The 22,296-nt window shown below is 46.2% G+C and overlaps 2 annotated features.

Annotated features, from left to right (window-relative positions):
* Window positions 6,241–6,450: an enhancer, noted in NCBI's record as "active region_23657". NCBI's record gives its function as "activates an Ori minimal core promoter by ATAC-STARR-seq in GM12878 lymphoblastoid cells {active_cell/tissue: GM12878}" and the evidence as "EXISTENCE:reporter gene assay evidence [ECO:0000049][PMID:35858748]".
* Window positions 16,637–17,233: an enhancer, noted in NCBI's record as "OCT4-NANOG hESC enhancer chr5:173097006-173097602 (GRCh37/hg19 assembly coordinates)". NCBI's record gives its function as "activates a minimal SCP1, AML or CMV promoter by ChIP-STARR-seq in primed H9 embryonic stem cells {active_cell/tissue: H9 hESC(primed)}" and the evidence as "EXISTENCE:reporter gene assay evidence [ECO:0000049][PMID:30033119]".

The following is a 22,296-nucleotide window of genomic DNA, read 5'->3' as shown; positions in this document are numbered from 1 at the left end:
AAACTCCACTTCAAAAAAAAAAATTATGTGTGTATATATATATATATATGTATGTATTGTTTCAAGCCACAAAATTTGCATTACTTTGTTACAGCAGCAACAGAAAACATCCAACTGACACGATTTCTGCTCTCACAAAACTCACACATCTGATGTGGATAGATGAACTAATTGGGTAAATGAATAAGTGAGCAAGGAAAGATGGAGTTACACACCATGAACACATGCAGTGATGTGACGGGAAATGAGTTTTGGGGACTGGGTGCCCAAAAGTCCTCTCTGAGGAGCTGGTGTTTCTGCCAAACCTCAGTAACAAGCAAGACCAAGGCAGGAAAAAAACAGACCCATGCAGAGGGCTCGGCAAGTACAGGGTCAGTAGTAGGAACAAGCTGGGTGTATTTTCCCATGGAACAGTGGCCAGTGACGGGGGAGTGGCATGTGAAGTTGGAAAGGCCTGTAATGGGCCAGACCAGGAAGGAGCTGGATTCTAAGTGTGATTTCTATTCTTCTGGTGTATCACCGAGCACATGCTGTATGTCAGAGAGAGTCACCGAGACCTAGCAGAGCAGCAGAGACGTGGCATATTGGCTTGCCTGAGTGCTTTGCCATAACAAAGCGCCCTAGACTGGGTGGCTTAAACAACAGAAATGTATTGGGGTTTTTATCCCAATACATTTTATTCCAAATGTAATATCAAGGTATCCGCAGTGTTGGTTTCTCCTGAGGCTTCGCTTTGGCTTGTAGATAGATGGCTGTCTTCTTCCGGTGTCTTTATGTGCTCTTCCTTCTGTGCGTGTCTGTGTCCCATCTCCTCTTCTTATAAAGACATCACTCACGACTGGGTGTCGTGGCTCACGCCTATAATCACAACATGTTGAGAGGCCAAGGTGGGATAATTGCTTGAGCCCAGCAGTTCAAGACCAGCATGGGCAACATAGAGAGACCTCATCCCTATAAAAAATAAAAAATAAAAAGTAGCCGGGTGTGGTGGCATGCACCTGTAGTCCCAGCTACTCCAGAGGCTGAGGTGGGAGGATTACTTGAGCCTGGGAAGTGGAGGCTGCAGTCAGCCATGATTACCGCCACTGCACTCCAGCCTGGGTGACAGAGTGCGACCCTGTCTCAAAAAAAAAAAAAAAAGACATCAGTTATATTGCTCATTAGGGCTCACCCATATGACCCCATTTTACCTTAATCACCTCGATAAAGTCCCTGTCTCCAAACACAGTCCCATTCTGAGACACTAGGGGTTGGGTCTTGAACATGTGAATCTGGGGGAGATACAATTCAGCCCTTAACGTCTGGAAGTGTTGGTTCCTAATGATGGTGGGGATTGCACGGCCAAGACCCGTCTTTAGAAAACTGTGTTTGAAGGAGTCCCCCTTCACGAACCACTTGACTGGGGTGGAGGAGGCCTCCCAGAGGGCAGAGATTTGGATGTTCTTTTGAGAAGATGGTGCTTGGTTAAGCACAGAACCGAGCAACAAGAAGCCTGGGGGTGTGCCAGTCTGGGGCAGAATGTAATTGTTCTACAGAGGGAGGGAGAGAGGAGACACCAAGGTTGCGTGATGCCATGCCCAGGACTGCTCAGTGGAAAGGAGAAATGAGAATCAGCAGCATGGCTAACGGTAAGGTTTTTTTTTTTTTTTTTTTTTTGAGACGGAGTCTCGCTCTGTTGTCCAGGCTGGAGTGCAGTGGTGCGAACTCAGCTCACTGCAAGCTCCGCCTCCCGGGTTCACGCCATTCTCCTGGTTCAACCTCCTGAGTAGCTGGGACTACAGGCGCCCACCACCGTGCCCGGCTAATTTTTTGTTTTTAGTAGAGACGGGGTTTCACCATGTTAGCCAGGATGGTCTCGATCTCCTGACCTCGTGATCCGCCTGCCTCGGCCTCCCAAAGTGTTGGGATTACAGGCGTGAGCCACCACGCCCGGCTGGCTAACGGTAATCTTTAAGCAACTTACTGTGCTATAAGAGCTTCTCTTCTTGCTTCCCCATGAGACCATCAGTAAATTCCACATTCTGTGAGCAAACTATTTGGAAAAGCTCAAAGGAGAAGATGGGGAGATCCCGATGTACAGTTTACATTTACAATGCTGTACACAATATAGAATATGGACATATCGTGTCCAGAGTTGGCTCCTGCCGGTGGGTTGGTGGTCTCACTGACTTCAAGAATGAAGCCACGGACCTTCGCGATGAGTGTTACAGCTCTTAAAGGTGGCACAGACCCAAACAGTGAGCAGCAGCAAGATTTATTGTGAAAAGCGAAAGAACAAGGATTCCACAATGTGGAAGGTGACCCGAACAGATTGCCACTGCTGGCTGGGGGGTGGCCAGCTTTTATTCTGCTATTTGTCCCCTCCCTTGTTCTGTTTCTGTCCTATCAGAATGCCTTTTTTTCAATCCTCCCTGCAATTGGCTACTTTTAGGATCCTGCTGATCAGTGCATTTTACAAAGAACTGATTGGTGCATTTTACAATCCTCTTGCTAGCTACAGAGCGCTGATTGGTGCGTTTTTACAGAGTGCTGATTGGTGCATTTTACAATCCCCTTGCTAGCTACAGAGCGCTGATTGTTGCATTTTACAATCCTAGCTTCAGAGTGTTGATTGGTGCATTTTACAATCCTCTTGTAAGACACAAAAGTTCTCCAAGTCCCCACTCGACCCAGAAAGTCTAGCTGGCTTCACCTCTCAATATTATGTAGGACCTCCTAACATTTGTATAGTGTATGACAGTGGGTTTCAAACTTTTAATAACAGAACATTTGGTCCATATTAAATTTTATGCCAACCTAAGTAGAGCAGCTGCCCGTCTTCCCCCATCAAGACTTTTCTGAATTTACTGAGGCTTCAAAGGCACAGTTTCAAAAGACTGGAGCACTGAATACTTCTATAATTTTCTAAGCAGTAAAGGGACCCTGGATGAGAGTGGGATGGGACCTCTCCAGAATCGCTCCTGATACCACTTCAAACACTGTGTCCAATCCCCAAACTGTCCCCACTAGAAGAGCAGGGGACACATGCACTTTGAAAACGATCAATATATTGTGGTTTTAAATAAAAACCCGGCTGGACGCAGTGGCTCATGCCTGTAATCCCAGCACTTTGGGAGGCCGAGGCGGGCGGATCGCCTGAGGTCAGGAGTTTGAGACCAGCCAGGCCAACATGGCAAAACTCCGTCTCTACTAAAAATACAAAAATTAGCTGGGCATTGTGCATGCCTGCAGTCCCAGCAACTCGGGAGGCTGAAGCAGGAGAATCGCTTGAACCTGGGAGGCAGAGGTTGCAGTGAGCCAAGACTGTGCCAATGCACTCCAGTCTGGGTGACAGAGTGAGACTCCATCTCAAAAAAAAAAAAAAAAGGAAAAGAAAAAGAAAAGTATATAGTGATTAAATAAAAATCCTGTCACAAAGAGGATTGGGGAATGTCCATTGTCCTCAAGCTTGAGTGAGGTTGAGACATGGTATGTCCCTATGGCAGGGAGCCTGAATCCTGCCTGGCTCTAGCATCTGCTGTCATCTTGAAGTTCAATTGAATAAGAATACTGCAACTTCTGGGCTATTTTTCCAAAAGTTGGAAAATGTTGGCATTACTGAATCCACCCTGGCTAAAGTTAAGAAAAACTGTGTCCCAGCTTGCTGGGCCCAGTCACCTGGGCTCTCTGGCTAATGGTGCCAAATCCACGGTGTAATCTAGCCCTTTGTGAGAATTTAGAGTGACTGTCTCACAAAGTGCTTTTCACGGTTCATCTGCTTAGCGAGGATCTAGCTATTAGCTATTCACCCCTTGCTAGAAATATAGAATATGACATTCAGTATAAAATCCATGACAAAGAAGAAAGGCCCATGTCCCTTGCTAGAACAAAATGATTTAATCCACCAAAATTTCTTTCAGGGAATGCACTTGAGGAGTTAGAACAAATATTTGGGGAGCAAGTGGGTAGGGCTATGGATGGCGAGGGCTGCTACTATACAACCTAAGAATACACTGTCTCCTGAAGTTATGCAACTCGTGGGTACTGGGAGACCCCGATGGCATACATTGATAACAAGTGTGGCTCCTATGTTGCCTTCTGGCAAGGTCAGCCCTGTTTCCTAGAGGGCCCAGTTTTGGAGAAGCCCCAGTAATTTACTTAAATAAAAACCCACCTGGGCACAGTGGCTCATGCCTGTAATCCCAGCACTTTGGGAGGCTGAGGTGGGCAGATCGCCTGAGGTCAGGAGTTTGAGACCAGCCTGGCCAACATGGCGAAACTCCATCTCTACTAAAAATACAAAAATTAGCTGGTCGTGGTGGTGCATGCCTGCAGTCTCAGTAACTCGGGAGGTACTGGGAGACCAATTATTGTACTGATCATTATCAGTACAATATCAAATCAGTATCCGTACCTTGTAGGGAGCAGTATTTCTTTGCACAACTCAAGGGAAGAAGGGCAGATAGAAGAACACTACTTGGTGGTTGCATGAGATTCTTTAAGATTTTGATGTGAACTGTAGGATCAGACCCCACCCTGTGATCACAGAGATCTTCTGAAAAATCTACAGGTCTACAGGAATGCATCTTTTTTTGTTTTTGTTTGTTTGTTTTTTGGTTTGTTTTTTGGTGAGTAGCAACAAGGAGGCTGAGTTCCAAGTCCAGACCGAACCTGCATCAGGGAGGAGGGACATCTGGTTTACATCAGTGATGACTCTTTTTCATTCATTTATTGAGCACCTACTGTATACAGGCAGTGATGGAGGAACAGGGAGCATACCTATTCTAAATAGATAAGTCCACATTGTTGTGTGTGATAAAATACACATAACTTAAAAGTTACCATCTTAACTACTTTTAAGTGTACAGTTCAGTGGCATTAAATACATTCATATTGTTGTGCAGCCATCCCCGTTGTTCATCTCCAGAACTTTCTCATCTTGCAAAACTGAAACTCTACCCATTAAACAAAAACTCCCCCTTGCTCTCCACCCTCGCAACCACCATTCTGTTTCCTGTCTCCTTGAATTTGACTGCTCTAGGAACCTCATTTAAGTGGAATCATACAATCTTTGTCCTTTTGTGTCTGGCTGATTTCACTTAACATAATGTCCTCAAGGTTCATCCATGTTGGAGGAACACAGATCTGAACATGGATCTGAACATGGATGATCAGAATTTCCTTGCTTTTAAAGGCTGAATAAAATTCCCTTGAATGGATAGACCCCATTTCATTTATCCATTCATCTGTCTATGGATACTTGGTTTGTTTCTACCTGTTGGTTGTTGTGAATAATGCTGCCGTGATCATGGATGTATACAGATTATCTCTTCAAGACCCTGCTTTCAATTCTTTTGTCTATAAACTCGAAGTGCAATTGCTGAATCACATGGTAATTCTGTTTAAATTGTTGAAGAATGGCAAGATTATTTTCCACAGTGGCTGTACCATTTTACATTCCCACCAATAGTGCACGTGGGTTCCAATCTCTCCACATCCTTTTTATATTTATTTATGTATTCATTTATTTATTTATTATTTTTGAGACAGAGTTTCGCTCTGTCACCCAGGCTGGAGTGCAGTGGCATGATCTCAGCTCACTGCAAGCTCCACCTCCCAGGTTCACACCATGCTCCTGCCTCAGCCTCCTGAGTAGCTGGGACTACAGGCACCCGCCACCACGCCTGGCTAATTTTCTTTTTTTTTTTTTTTTTTTTTTTTTTTTTGTATTTTTAGTAGAGACAGGGTTTCACCATGTTAGCCAGGATGGTCTCCATCTCCTGACCTCGTGATCTGCCCGTCTCAGCCTCCCAAAATGCTGGGATTACAGACATGAGCCACCACGCCTGGCTCTCCACATCCTTTTTAATGCTTTTTAAACAATAGTAGCCATCCTAATGGACAGAGTTTTGATTTGCCTTGCTCTAATGATTAATGATGTTAAGCATCTTTTCCTGTGCTTATTGGCCATTTGTGTATCTTTTCTGGAGAATTGTCTATTCAAGGCCTTTGCCCATTTGTAATTGGGTTGTTTGAGGGTTTTTGTTGTTGTTGAGTTGACAAGTTTGAATTTTTGAGTCCTTGTAAGACCTACTTAATTTTTCTGGCCTTTGACTACCAAGATCCTAAGACAAGCCCCATTGACAAAATAAATAATCGATGACAATGACTTCCACACGTCACAAAATGCGTAGTATTTCTAAATCTTCCAGACTTATCATGCTTAGACCCTGTTCGGAACAACTTTCCGCTTCTGAGAAGAAACTGGGAATATCTAAGGCCCAAGCATACGGCTTATATTCCTCTCATCTAAACAGTTCTCATCTGGGTAGCTTTCATTTAGCCTTCATTTTGCAGAGGGTGGAAATACCCTTCACCCAGTTCCAAAACTGCAGCTGCTGATGTGTGAAAAAACCCCCAGAGTCACATGTCCCACAGGCAGCTGCCCTTTGACTTGAGTGTTTCTATGCAGAAACACTTTTCCTTGAAAACAAGGGAGATTGCATGATAAGTATTGAGAAAAATTTCTCTCTCCTGGTACCCCAAAGCAAAATTGAATTGGTGCAGGATTTAGGTTGTTTATTCTTAAGAATATGTTTTTTCTCACTCTAATACTTGCAAATTGGAGTCTACAGGGCAGTTATACAATAGTATACCTAAATGTGTGGTTTTTTAGCTCCAAGACATTGGTATGGTCCTTTGCACAAGGCCTGCACACTGTCTTCTGACCTGTATGCACAGCATATTGTAGAATGCATGTTGTGTTGTGTACTGTGCATTGCATTAAACAGCTGATCATCAGGGCCACAGTGTGCCAGTCATGTTGCTAAGCATTTCACATGTATTGTAAATAGTAACCAGGAAGAATCAAGAGCAGGAATCCCAACTCTGACCACTACTAGCCTTGAGATACTACCAAGCTACTGAAGTCTCAGTTTCTTTATCTGAAAAATGAAAATAATATTGAGAGGTGAAGCCAGCTGGACTTCTGGGTTGGGTGGGGACTTGAAGAACTTTTCTGTCTTACAAGAGGTTTGTAAAATGTGCCAATCAGTGCTCTGTAAAAACGCACCAATCAGGGCTCTGTGGCTAGCTAGAGGTTTGTAAAATGAGCCAATCAGCACTCTGTAAAAATGCACCAATCGGCGCTCTGTGGCTAGCTAGAGGTTTGTAAAATGGGCCAATCAGCACACTGTAAGATGGACCAATCAGTGCTCTGTAAAATGGACCAATCAGCACTCTGTAAAATGGACCAATCAGCAGGACATGGGCGGGGACAAATAAGAGAATAAATGCTGGCCACCGCAGCAGTGGCAACCCGTTGGGGTCCCTTTCCACTCTGTGAAAACTTTGTTCTTTCACTCTTCATAGTAAATTTGCTGCTGCTCACTCTTTCGGTCTTCACCACTCTTAAGAGCTGTAACACTCACCACGAGGGTCCGCGGCTTCATTCTTGTAAGTCAGTGAGACCATGAACCCACTGGAAGGAACAAACTTTGGACACAATATTATCATGTTTCATCTATTCTAAGATGCGTAATTTTTCACATTTTAGCAGATCTGGAACCACAGCATGTCACACAATCAACAGTTTTAGATTTAATAAAAAATAGTATAAACTGTTCAAGATGTTGTTATGAAAATTAAAGGAGATCCCACGTATAAAATGCGGAGCACTGGCTCTGAGGCATGGTAGTCCTGAAATGCGTATTAGCAGATACAACTTAATCTGTGTCTTCCCACTCCAGACACCCCCATAGCCGTCGAATGGACATCTCAACCTGCCCCAAGCAGGACCCTGATTTCTGTGCCCCACTCCTACCCTTGCCCAGTTTTTTCCTTCCTCGTGTACAGCTCTACCTTACACCAGCTGCTCCAGGCCAAATATCTAGGAGTCCTCTCTGAGTCCTCTTTCCTCGTTCTGAGATAAAATTCATCCCAAACCCTGTCAGCACCGTCTTCAAAATCTATCCAGAACCTGACCGTTTCTCACCACCCCCTCGACTGCCAGAGTCACCATCACCTGTTACCTTTTCATGACATCAGTCTCTTCACTCAGCTCCTGTGAATGCCGCTTCCCTCCTGGCTGTGCCCCTCCCTTCTCAGATACTCCATCCACACAGCAGGCAGAAGGATTCTTTAAAACCCAAGTCCCTCACCTCCTCAGAGCCCTCTCATAGCCTCTATCCCACTGACAACACCATCCTCGTCTCCCCACCTGCAGAGTGCTGCATGACCTGGTGTCATGAATTGAATTGTGTCCCACCAAAGTCATATGTTGAGGCCTTACTCCCAAGATGACTGTATTTGGAGATGGGGTCTTTAAGTAGATAATTAAGGTTAAGTGAGGTCATGAGGTGGGTCCCTAATCTGATGGGATTGGTGTTCTTTTAAGAAGAGGTGGCTGGACGTGGTGACTCACACCTGTAATTCCAGCACTTTGGGAGGCCAAGGCAGGAGGATCACTTGAGGCCTGGATTTCAAGACCAGCCTGGGAAAGATAGCAAGACCTGGTCTTTACAAAAAAAAAAAAATTAAATTATAAATTAAAAAGAAGAAGAAATAGCAAAGCACTCTCCTCCTGCTTATACAGAGGAAAAGCCGTATGGGAACACAGCTAGAAGGTGGCTGTCTGTAAGCTGAGGAGAGAGACCTCACCAGAAACCAACCCCACCAGCACCTTGATCTTGGATTTCAAGTCTGCAGAGCTGTGAGAAAACAAGTATCTGTTGTTAAAGCCATGCAGTCTGCAGTAGTCTGTTATGGCAGCCTGTACTGACCAATACATGGCCCCTCCTGACCTCACCTGCCCTTCCCAAGACTCTTTTCCTCTGGCAACGTGTTCCTCTGAACACACACTTACACACTGGTCTCATTGCTGTTTCCTGAAGCTGCTAAGCTCATTCCTGCCTTACAGCATTTGTGATTGCTGTTCCCTCTGCCTGGAATGTTCTTCTGTCTTGTTTTTGCTGAGCTCACTTCCTCACCACCTTCAGGTTTCTACCTGGTGTCACCTAAGAAGGCATCTCAATTCATCCTAAGTAAGACTTTCCTTTCTGGATCACCTTGCACCCCCAATCTTGTTTTATTTTTCTCCACAACACTGATGTAATAATATGTACTCATTTGTTTATTGTCTCTCTCTCTGTGACCAGAATAAAACCTCCTCCCAGAATAAAAGCTCCAAGATGATCAGTCTCAGATCTCTCCTTGAGAAGATCAGAGACTGATCATCTTGCTCCCTGCTGTATCTCAGCACCCAAACGATGCCTGGCACATAATAGGATTGCAACATATATATGTTGAATGACTAAGTGAATGAATTAGTATGTATCATGCTTGCTTTGTAGACATATGAGTATATGTATGTATGTATACATATATGTAACATGTGTATGTATTTACACACATATATTCATCTATATATTTGTATCTATATCAACACCTGCACCTGCCTATAAAGCAGGACATGTTCATTTGTAAAGAGGATACAGACCAAGATTTTATTTCTGATTCTATATGGATGGAGGAATTCTAGTGGCAAAATGATGTTGTGTTTGAAAACCAAAAGCCCAAGGTCACACAGCTTCCGGTCCATCAGAGGCCAATTTCCTTATCACACTAGATTGGCTCTTGAAAATCTCACTATAAATTATGAGGAAGAAAGAAATTCAAACCAAAGAATAGTAGAGCTAAAGGGTTATTTGAGATTCTCTAGTTCAGTCAACAAAAAGTGTGCTAATCCTCTCCCATCTCACACCCTTGGCAGACATCACTAATGGATTATGGCACTTTCCACCATTGAACTTCTGAGTCGTCTTTAGCATAATGCCTCAGGCTGACTTAGCTGCTCAAATGAAGTGATTTGTCATCCCAAATCTAACCCACCCCAATCAGTTTTTGGATTGACAGTCTGAGGCCCAGAGAGGAGCATTCATTTGTCCCAAATTGCACAGCATGCCAGAACCAAGACCTGGGTCACCCAAAGCTGACCTGGCTTGTGTTCCTATGGTGCAACATTAAGCTGGAAGGGAACTTAGAGGTCATGTTCAATATAAAATCACATAGAAGGTTATTATTTCTAAATGATCTTTCATTACTTCTGATTACTTCTAAAAATTTTAATCACTTGCTGCCAAAAGTTAACTTACCAGTAAAATGAGCTACAGGAATCAGACCAATTCTGGCTACCAGCAAGATGCTAAATAGAACCAATTGTAGTCAAGAGACCAAGAAGAAATTCCTGCCTTTTGAGATCAAGGAAAGCAAAAGACAGTTCAGCAAAAATAGAGAGTGAGAACCTTGAATGGTGAAAAGTGAGGACGGATCAACACGTTTTTCAAACCCGTGCAGGCTGCAGAAGACACTATTGCCTTCCTCCCAAGAGCCATCCTCCACTTTTATCTCTGCTAACAGAAACCTAGTCATATTCTGATCTCCACTCCTCAGGCAAGGTAACTATTCCTAGCTCAAGACTAAATCCCAGTTGTCCAAGCCGAACATGCAATCTCATTCCCCCTGACAACGATGAATACAAAACTGCATGTGATCTGATTTTGACCACAGTCCTGCTAAAGGACTCTGGGAAAAACTGCTCACTCTTAAAATGAGAAACACAAAAATGCCAGTCTCTTTTTGCCTTTGAACATTAGTACATTTGAGTGTGATGACTGGGCTATGGCAACCATCCTGGCACCATGAGGAGAACAACTTGAGGCAGGACTGACAGGCCCAGGACCCCAGAAAGGAAGGACAGTAGAAGAAACCTGGATGCTTGGAAATGTGGAGAACCCCAGGAGACACCCTGCCTTGGGTCATAGATCTTTCTTCTTCTTTAAACCATTTGGCATTGGGGTTTCTCTTACCTGCTACCTAAAGCATACCAACTGGTACATGAGATACCTCCCATTGCTTCCTAGAGACTGAAACAGGCTTAGTCAAAGCTCCAGGCCTTTCCCAACTCCCAGACATTGCACCCTCACTTTCCCAGTTGTCTAAGGACAGAACAGACCCTTATATCTGAGGGCACCTGGGGAAGCTCCACCATGACCCACATGTATTCCAGGTGCCTGAAATACCACCCTTAGTGAGGTATTGTTCTGTTTAGATATGCAAATCGTCCTGGGGGTAGATTAAGTCCCCTAAGTGAGAAAGAACTAATTGCATCTCTTTCTTCTTCCAAGAAACTTTGGCAGACTGTTATTACAGGAGAAACAGATGCCGAGATGGGAGTTAATGCACAGGGGTTTCATGAAGGCAAATGCCTGTGAGAGAAAATGGGTGGAAGGGAGGGTAGAGAGAGCAGTCAGGCCATGTGATGCAAGACCCTGAGTGGAGGACAGAGGGAAGGAAGATTGGGTAGAAGCATTCTAGGCAGTTGTGCCAACTTGATAGGCTTGGCAGTGCCTTCCTTGAGCCAAGGTCTAGTAACAGCAGAGTTCCGTGTCTGCCAGTGATAGCTCCCCTTCAATTCCTGCCAGGCAGTCCTGGGTAGGAGGAGCCTCTGGGAGGTGTGGCCTCTGCACAGACACAGCTGGAAAAAATGGGCTCCTGGGACAGAGGGGAAGGAGACTTGGGGTGGGAGATACCTCCGCAGGGGGTCATGTCTGTGTGATGGTCACGCTCTGCTCCATCCAGGCACTCACTCAGTAAACCTCTTTCAGTGAAGCCAGCTTAGACCAGCAATTCTTCACATGGTGGTCATGTCAATGGCTGTCGTTGCTGACGAATGGAAACTAGAGAATGGGCTAGGTCACTTGAGAACATTAATGTGTCAGGCCAGGTTGGCACAGGAGAAAGCTGAGCTCATGAGGCAGAGGCTCCAGGAGCCACATGTGCCTGGGGATTAGTGCTACTCTGGACTTTACAGGCCATGCCGTTTGGGGCAGTTTGAGGCCATTTTCTCTGGTTCTCACTGGCCAGGAAGAACCCCACCCAATCTCTGAGTTACTCATTGTAAGCCTGGTTGCTGCATCAGAGATTCAAAACACTGGGCCTTAGGTGAGAGTGCAGTTGCCTTCTCACATATTAGTGCAGGTGCAGGTCTGGGACGGGGACCCAGGCTCTTGCCCTCTTGTTGCTCTGCCTTCCCCAGAGTGCTGCGAAAGAATACCGTCCACAGAAAATTATTGATGAGATGATGCCTTGGCAGCCCATGTATGTGCCAGGCACTGTTCTCAATACTTTATAAGTATCAAGCCTTTAACCCTCAAAATCTCTCAGAGTAGATAATATCCTAATTTTACAGAAATTGAAGCCAAAGAAGTCGAGTTGCCAGCTCCACAATCTATGCTGGCGACAACCACGCCTGCTAGCCAGAAGGAAGGGGGGCGGGGGTGTGCAGACAAATGGAACCCTCCTTCCCTTTAAGGACTGAGACAGATACCATGAGTCAGGTGGCCATGCTTGGTTTCCAGGGTGGCTGAGAGATGTAGTCTTTAGCTGGGCAGGCATGTGCAAAGTGCCCAGCTAAATTACTACTCTGCCTGGAATGGCTCTTCCAATCATTTACACCATCATTCATGATTTACCAGGCCATGATTTAGGCTAACATTATCCAAGATTCAGTTCACCTGCACTGGGAAGATACTCCCAACTCCACCCTTGGCTGGGTTAAATGCCCCACTTAGGGCTTCCATTAGCCCCTGGGATGCCTTCTATGTCACTCTTATTATATGTTATTAGAAGATCCTCTCTGGTCCCAATAGGCCTACAGACATGGTTTGTTTGGCCCACACAGTGTTTAAAGAAAAAAAAAATAGAAATAAAAACCACACGCGCACACACACACACACACACACACACACACACAAGCAATTCCAAACATATGGCTTCCCCTTAAAAATCATAAGGCACAATACAGGACAGTCAACTGAGACTGAATAGCTCCCCAGTCCCTGTACAGAGGACACATGCACTTCGTTCTCACAGTCCCCACCGCTCCCTAATGTCCCACACCCTCCCTAATTCATTCATTCATGTTGCCTGCCTGACCCTGGTAGGTAGTAGCCATTGCAACTCCATTGGACCATGGGTTTTTGGGGGGCAAAGTGTGCTTCAGCTGGATGTGCCTTGCACTTGGCACACAGCAGGTGCTCAGAAATGTTTATGGAGTGTGTGAATAGGTTTGCTGAAACTTTCAGGATTAAATTGCATTGCAGCACAGACATACATTCCACCCACACCCTTCCCAACCGTCACCCCAAAGAAATCTATATTTAATTGGGTTTGCAAAATCAGAGCCTCCAAGCAACTTCACACTAGAGATCCTTTCTAAACGGCAGAAATGCGACAGCTTCGCCCTGTGTGCTTGAGCCTATTCATAGCTCGGGTGTGTTTCCTGGGCAGCTGCATTGTTCTTAGTGGGAGAGCAGCAGAGGCAACCTTCTAAGTCCGACTCCCCCTCTGCCTCTCCCAACCCTCCCTCATGCCCTTCCACACTTCTCTTTCTCTGTCCAGCTTGCCTGCCCGCTGTCTATTCTGTTGGATGGTTATTTATTTATCGTCAGCACTAATCAGAGGGTGGGGAGGGGAAATAGGAGCTCTTGCCGATGCGAAAGTGCTTCGCCAGGGTCCCCAGGGAGAATCCTGTGCGGTGTGCAGCGCCAGAGGTCACTGTCACCTTGGCCTTGAGGTGGCCTGTTTACCAAAGTGAAATGAAGATATCAGTCAGATGTCAGGTAAATGCTAATGGCCAGCTCCTGGGCAGAGAGCTGGCACAGGATTGGCCGGGCTGGGTGAACCCTTCCTTTCCAATTCTGCAGCACAAAGGCCCCAGTGACTTAGCAACTCCGATAAGAGGTCAATGGGCAAATGTCAGTCCTTGATTGAATGCACCTCTTGGCCTGGTTTCAGGAGCCCCAGGGCTGCCTCTCTGCATTTCCCTCGGCTCTCCCCACTCCTATGCAACTGGAGGAAGGTGAAGCATTTGTTGGAAAGCCCTCCCATCCACCCTTTCCCTATCTCTGGCAGGAAAGAAAGCCTATCCCTTCATGTCCCAAGGTCCGAAAGCACAATGAAAACCGGCATCATTATCCTTCAGCCGTGAATGGGAAAAGCAGGATGTTGACTATGGGTCGTCACCTAGGAGGACGGATGAGACTGGATTCAGTCGCAGAAAAGGACAGGAAACAGTCGCTGCCTTGTTTATCACTGTGTGATAGATAGCATCCCGGGGCCACCTCTCCACGCAGGGCCTCATTAGGAAGTCAGCACCTGAAACAGGAACCTCCGCATCACATGGTCCAAGATGAAACAGGGCCTGTTAGCTCGGTCTCCCAGGACTGTGGATCCTTTTTGCATTCCTTCTATTGTTTTTCCAATGTGGGGGCTTGGCACTGGGCACAGTGAGGGTCTCACACCTCTGCTGGTTCTCACCAACAGGAAGCATCTCCCACATTGACATCTTCAAGCAGCCCCTCCCCAAGCCCCTCGAAGTCACTTAGTCTTCATTCTCATCTAGTCTTTTCTGCAAACTCTCCTGCTCCTCAGTCAACGCTCTTTTATTCTTCTTTAGACTTTTTCTCTGCATCCTCCTGCCCCTGCCAGCATAACAATTGAAAGAACTGTCAAATCTTCTCAAATAAATTTTTCTGCATTTTTTTGCTTCTTCTCATATTTAACCTTGTTGATATTTTAATTTTTTTCAGCTTGTAAAAGATTAGAAATCAGAAAGAATTTAAGAAGTTTGTATAGTATACAACACCACGTGCAATAAAATGGGCACAACTTGTCTCCCTTTTATACTATGTAGCTACTGATCACTTTGGACTGCTACGAAATACATAGGACATCAATATGTAACATATTAGCTGTATGTTGATTTCTATAGACAGCGAGGCACCTGACCTTTGGTCTGGAATGCATCTTAAAAATCGGACGTGGATTGTATTACTTTGTCTTGCTGCACAGTTGTTCACCACAAACTGTCACAGGTGCCCCTCACAGCCTTTTTGGTACTCCAGTGGGGGCCTGCTCTGATTAGACGCTGTGCTCAAGGCCATTCTCACTGACTTGCTATTGCAGGGCTGCGAATGCTCGAGAAATCAGACTCTTACACACAGGTGAGTTTCTGGGATCTGGTTAGTAAACCATACCTTCAAGTAAACCACCATAGCCTCCACCATATTCAGAATAAGCAAAACCCTAGAAATGTTGACTTGAAGAAGGATGTCCTGTCCCTTTGGTGACAAGTTGCCTTGTCACAGGAAGATAAAAATGGCTTCATTTGCCCATTTGCCACAGTAGCTCTGATGATCAACCCTGCTTCCTGTCTTGTGCTCCCTTCAATGGATTCTCCATGCACAAAGCAGAGTGATCCTCTTAAAATACAAATCAGGTCAGCTGTCTCTCCCCTGCTTCCAAAAATTCTGCAAAATATTTAGCATCTCAGTCAAACTCCTTCCTACGATAGTGCCTATCACTCTGACTTCATCTCATGGCATCTTCTCCCCCTCGCTCATCACGCTGGAACCACTTTGGCTTCCTCACTGTTCCAAAGACATGCCAAGCTGGCTTTCTGCTCAGTGGGGTTGTAGTTGCTGTTCTCTCTGTGTGGGATGCTCTTCCCTCAGATTTCTGCATGGCTGGCTCTTTCTCATCAGGTCTCACCTCAAATGTCACCTCCTCCGAGAAGCCCTCTGATCTCTCACATCACTCAGTCTCATTTTCATCACATCCCTTATCATTACCCAATATCTTTCTGTTCATTTCATCATGTACTTCCCCTACCACCCGCCGCTGTGAGAAGATAAGCTCCGTGAGAGCAGCAGCATGGTCTGGGGTCCCATAAACGGGCTCCTCCAAGTCCGGATCCATCTCCAGGCGGCTTCCAGTCCAGAGTTCTAGGCACAGCACCAGCCAGCTTCTTGAACGAGTGTTGGCATTTCTTTCTCAGTGGCTTTGAAATCAGACGTCAGCCCCCAACCTCGTGACTCAGCCGGCAGCATGTGAGAAGGCTGGCTTGGGGACACAAAGTCCTTCGATCTTTAGAGAGATAGCAGCCCTCCTGGGAACGGGGCCACAGATGAAGGCTGAGCATGAAGCCTGGGCACTGGCCTGCCACTGGAAGCTGACCCTCTGCTGGACCATGCCAACTCTTGACATTTCCCAAACTAGGCAATGGCCCAGGCTTTTGAAAGCCAGTATCGCCTAGCTATGGAATCGCCATGCAGATAGTGCTCAGGGAATGAAATTAAATTTCCCTTTTCAGAACAAAGACAAACACACTCCTCTCACCCATCCTACGAGAGCTGGGCCGGGAGCGCCTGCCTCCGTGCCAGGATTCAAAGCCCACGGGCTCTCCTGCTTGCTTCAGCAGTTCCTGGCAAGTGCAACGGAGTTCTCCCGCTTTAAAATCTAATTGCCTGCCCACGCCCGTGAATCCCATCTCCAAAGGCAAGAAAAAAAAAAATTTTAAAAAAAAGTTGGTGGGGGTGGGAGGGGCCGGGGTTCTCACACATTCAGCCCAGATGAGCCCATTTAAGCTTTTGACATTATGCCTTTTGGGGAGGCCGATTCAAAATAAAACCAGCCCGAGAAGCTCCTGTTTTAAACAGAAAGATCCATAAATGCAGCTTCTGTCAGTAATGAGAAAAATGGAAATCACAAGCAAAACCAGAAAACTCATTCCCCCAGAATCTTAATGATCTCCAGAATAATTGTGCTGGTCTCTCAAATCAAGGAGTGGACGGTGACAGCCCTGGGTTTTCACATGAGGGTCAGATGGGTTCATGTTTTTTTAATTGGGCTCATTTCTAAGCAATGTGCTTGTCATGATGCCTTAATCCCTTCCCTGTGCCCAGCAAAAATGCTTTCTCTCTCCTTGTCTCCCTCAAACAAATGCAGCTTCTCAACAGGGAAATGAGCTTCCCTGTCTTGCAAACAGATTTCTTATCATATGACTGATCCACTGTGGGTGAACTTGCATTTCTCTTGCATAAGAAAGCAATTTCCTGAAGAGAGAAAGGGGGGAAAATCAAACCGCTTACCTCTCCTTGTTTTCCATATTAGCATCCTTAGCTGAAGCTCCTGAAGATAATGGGAAAGAAACGACTTTATTTCAGAGGATGAATATCAATCTTTCAGATAGCAGTGGGATGTTTAGGGCTCTCTAAGAGGCAGCCAGGTTTTCCTGCATTTGTTTTATTTGGCAGGACTCACAAGAAGGAACAAATTCTTTGACAATTTCAAAGTTTCTCCAGACAAACTGCTACCTTCTGATAAAATCTAGCAGGCTAAAGTTCAACAATGACAAACAAATTAGAAAATTCTGCCATTATAGCGGAATATAAATTGGCAGGTTCATTTAGGAGGCTTAAAACAAAGAATGAGATCTTAAAAGTAATAAAAAATAATAATGAGCTTTGGGATTAAAAAAAAAGAAAGAAAAGGGTAATTTCTCAAGTGTGCGCAGAGGTGTGAAAAGTGACAGCAGCCATCAGTTAAATAAAGAAGCACCAGTGATTTGGCAGACAGTAACCATAGCACACAGTCTCAGGGGGGGCCTCAGACCTGTCTTGGCCATTTCACTTCTCTTGTAGGTTCTGGCTTTCAGCTTCGTTGCACCAAGAGAGGGTGGTGAGCCCAGCACAGGCCCAGCATGAGGATCAGCCCTGAGAGTGGGCTGGGGGTGGGGTCAGAAAAAGAGGAAAGAAGGAGGGAAGGAGAAGGGAAGGAAGAAACTACTGTTTTACCTGCGTTGGTTGATTCAATTTGAGAAATGCTTGTTGTACACCCACTATGTGCCAGCTGAGGCCAGAGGCCAGGAGAAAATGGTGAGCAAAGCAGGAACCCAGCTCAGCCCTTTTGGAGCTCCTGGAGAGGATGACTTTAACCACATGCTATGGTTTGAGTGTGTCCCTTCTGAAACTCATGTTGAAATCTGATCCCCAATATGGCAGTGTTGGGAGAGGGGCCCTAGTGGGAGGTATCTGGGTCATGGGACACCACTGTCATGAATAGATTAATGCCGTCTCTCAGGAGGGAATTCTGACTCTTGTGGGAATGAATTAGTTCCCAAAAAAGAGGGTTTTTTTTAAGTGAGCGCAGACTCTCATGCATGTCTTTTTGCACATGCCTTCTTACCTTTCTGCTTCTCCACCACCTTGTGACCCAGCATGAGGCCCTCACTGGAAGTGGAGTATATACCAGTGCCATGCTCTTGGACTTCCCAGCCACCAGAATCATTAGCCAAGTAAACTTGTTTTCTTTATAAATTATCCAGCCTCCGATATTTTGTTATAGCGACACTAAACAGACAAAGGCACTAGACAAACACACAAATAAATGTAAGGTGGTCATCTTGCTGAGTGCTACCAGGGAGTGCATGAGCACGTGGCTCTGTGCACAGGAATAACCAGGAGAAAAGACCAGGTGTGGTGGCCAAGACAGCATCCCTAGAGCACAGGGAGGTTGGAGCCAAACGTTCATTATGTTTGAGTGCTTTTCTATGCCAGGTCCTGGCTAAGTATTTTATAATCATTATCTTATTCACTTCTTGCATTAGCCCAATGGGACAAATGCTCTTATAACCCCATTACAGATGAGTACCTTAGGCTCAAAGAGGTAATATTGCTTGCCTGAAGTCACAGAGCTGTGGAGGACTCAGACTCAAAGGCAGGCAGCCCTGTCTCAGAGCCCAGGGCCCTGACCACCACAGCAGACGCTGCCCTCCCAGGAAGGGTGGGCATGGCAAGACCAGCCTTCCATCTCCAAACCTTCCTGCCCTTGCCTCCTCCTCTCTCAGGCAAACACACACATGCACACACTCACACTTATATGTGCTCTTACACACTCTTTCAAAAACTCTCACACTCTCTCCCACTCACAATACTCTCAATCACTTACAGTTTCACACTCACACACTCTCAAGCTCACACACTCTTTCTCACACACACTTCCTACCCTCCTGTTCCCAGAAGCCAAGGTGACTGCCCCTGAGGCTGCCGTAAGCCTTACCATCTCCTTCCCTCCCAGTGGCAATGCTCCTTCCAGCCTAGTGTGGTTCAGATTGCAAGCAAAGCGAGGTGTGGGCTCCCACCAGCAATACACAGAGGAATACTCCTCTGTGTAGCCCAGAGGAGGGGGAAACTGACCCAGACCTTGGAGCATGAACAGGTCCTTGTCCAGAAAGCTGAGAATGGCTTTCCAGGCAGAGAATGCTGCCCATGGAAAAGTGTCTGGGAGATGCGGATGCCATCTGTGCTGGCTCAGATGCACCCCTGCCCACCACAGCACCCCCTCAATAGCTGCTTCCCCTGCAGCATTCCCCACTTCAGCAGAGGCACCACCAGCCACCCCATGGCACACAAACCATGGACATGGGCAGCCCCCTGGCAGCTGCTTACTTACTAACCAGACTGTCACCAACTCCTCCTAAACACAGTCTGAGTCTGCCCACGTCTCTGCCACCCCGTCGTTCCAGCACCCACCCTCTCCCCCTAGATGACTGTCAGCCTCTTAACACTTCCCCGACTCACCATTGTACACCCACCACCCTCCAACATGCTGTCACACAGCAGTCAGGGTGGCCTTCCGTTCTGCTAATCGGACTGCAGGGCCCCCTATCTAAAACTAGTCCCTAAGGCTAAGTTCCAACAGCTGCCCTCACAACCCCCTTCTCCCCTGGACTAGGTCAGATGCCCTGGTTTACTCTCCATGACGTACGGTTCTTTTCCTCTGTAATGCTTGGCAATGTTCTCACCTAAACACTTAAATGTCTGTGATTATTTGGTTTGAGACTTGGAGCTGCAGGAGGGCAGACACTGCCTCCACCCTTTCCTAAGTTCCCTGTACATAGCAGGCCTGCAAGAAGACTTTGTGAGTGTGTGGATGGATGCTGACGCCCTTGGAGGTATGGGGGAGATGGGGCCTGGAGCAGGTGGAAGGGGAAGAGACAGATTCCTGGGGAGTCTCCATCGCTGTGCTAAGGCATGGGAAGAAAGGGGGGACATGAGGGATAGCATTGGCAGTCTCCCTGGGACTGGTATGGTGGCTTGCCCTTCCTGGACACAGCCAGCTGGGTTTAAACTCACTGCAAGGCCCCTCTCTCTCTCCAGCAGGTTTGAGTTGCTGGTGAAATAAGTGGGTCAAGGGAAGTTACGATGTTTGGGAGATGCTGGCATCTGCTACCAAGAGCCTACCACCTACAGCCAGGCAGTACCTCTGTGCTGCCCATGTGCTGAGCTGCCCAAGGATGCTCAAGGCTCAGGCGAGCCCTGGACACTGGCAAGGAGGCCAGCACTTTCCTGGGTCTCTGGAAGGCCCAGGGAGACAGCTAGGGAAGATGCCTCAGAGGGTGGCACTCCTTCCAGGCGTAGGATAGATGGTAAAAAGCACTATACAACACCCACAGCATTTCTGCAGCCACCACAGAAGTGCAATATTGGTTTCTAACATTTAAAAATCAGAACACCACAGCAAAGTCTAAATTTCTGGCTTCTCTTGAAAAACTAGAAGATTCCAGCCAGGTGTGGTGGCTCACACCTATAATCCCAGCACTTTGGGAGGCTGAGGTGGGCGGATCACTTAAGCTCAGGAGTTGGAGACTAGCCTGGGCAGCATGGTGAAACCCTGTCTCTACAAAAAAATACAAAAATTAGCTAAGTGTGGGAGCTCATGCCTGTGGTCCCAACTACTTAGGAGGCTGAGGCAGGTGGATCATGGTTGCAGTGAGCCGTGATGGTGCCACTGTACTCCAGCCCAGGCAACAGAGCAAGACTTGTCTCAAAAAAAGAAAATAAAAGAGTTTTAGAAATGTTTTCCAGTTCTGTGAAGAATGAAGGTGGTATTTTGACGGGAATTGCATTGAATTTGTAGATTGCTTTTGGCAGTATGGTTGTTTTCACAATATTGATCCTACCCATCCATGAGCATGGGATGTCATCTGTGATTTTTTTCAGCAGTGTTTTGTAGATTTTTTTCTAGAGGTCTTTCACCTCCTTGGTTAGGTATATTTCTAAGTGTTTTATTTATTTATTTATTTATTTATTTATTTATTTATTGCAGCTATTGTAAAAGGAGTTGTGTTCTTGATTTAATTTTCAGAGTAACCACTGTTGGTGCACAGGAGAGCCACTGATTTGTGTACTTTAATTTTGTGTCCTAAAACTTTGCTGAATTATTTTATCAGTTCTAGGAGCTTTCTGGAGGAGTCTTGAGGGTTTTCTAGCTATACAGTCATATCATCAGCACACAGTGACAGTTTGACTTTGTCTTTACCAGTTTGGATGCCCTTTATTTCTTTCTCTTGTCTGATTGCTTTGGCTGGGACTTCCACTACTATGTTGAATAGAAGTGGTGAGAGTGGACATCCTTGTCTTGTTCCAGTTCTCAGATGGAATGCTTTCAGCTTTCCCCCATTCAGTATTATGTTGGCTATGGGTTAGATGGTTTTTATTACATTAAGGTATGTCCCTTGTATACAGATTTTGGTGAGAGTTTTAATCATAAAGGGATGCTGGATTTATCCAGAATCTACAATGAACTCAAATAAATTAGCAAGGTATCGGCTGGGTCGAGGAAACCGAGGCTCAGAAGGGCCTAACACTTGGCCATGTTGGTCTGTGCTGTGTTGATGTGGACAGGTTGGAGCTGTGTTGTTCAGAATCCCATTCCCCAGTACAGCTCTGGGTCTGAGCTGGCCAAAAGAGGCATGAGAATCCAGAGGTGGGGGAGCAGCAGCCTTCACTCTCAGGCCAGCCTCATTGGATGTGGTGGCAGCAGGTTGCAGAGACGCCAGTGGGTTTCCATGGGCCTTTGCCTCCTTCTGCCCTGTGTCCAGCCCAGATGCTCAGTGGCAGAAGCTTCCTGGATTCTCCTCCTTCAACTTCCCCACGTGGCTTCCAGATCGACTGGCCCTTGTCCCCTCGGACCATCCACTCTGTAATCCAGACCTTCCTTCTCCCACACTGTGAAAGGTCAAATTCCAATAACAAGTCCCTTATTCCACTCATTCTAGTGGCCTCTTCCCTCATTGAACCCTCACTTATACCTTGCTTAAGGCACAGCTATTAACAGACAGAACCTAAGTTTTCTTTACCGCAGTTTCCACCCAGTCTGTCGGACTGGTAAGCCTATACTCTTCCCATGGCGTTCTCTAAGAGTCGATGAACCCAGAGTGACTGGGCAGCCAGGTGCTTAGTGCTGTGGCAGAGTGCAGATGACACTGAATTAAGAGAAGCCAACCATGCCCTCAGGGAGCTTTTGTCTGTTTAGAGACAGAAGATGAACAGACACCACACTTTGAAAACATACATATGTCAGGGTCTCTCCTAGCAGAGACAATGCCAATTAAGACGGTTTAATTCCGTAATGCCG

The sequence above is a fragment of the Homo sapiens genome, chromosome 5 (genome assembly GCF_000001405.40).
Source record: "Homo sapiens chromosome 5, GRCh38.p14 Primary Assembly".
Lineage (NCBI taxonomy): Eukaryota > Metazoa > Chordata > Mammalia > Primates > Hominidae > Homo > Homo sapiens.
The sequence above is the reverse complement of the archived record's forward strand: the minus strand, read 5'-3'. Positions and strand labels throughout refer to the sequence as shown.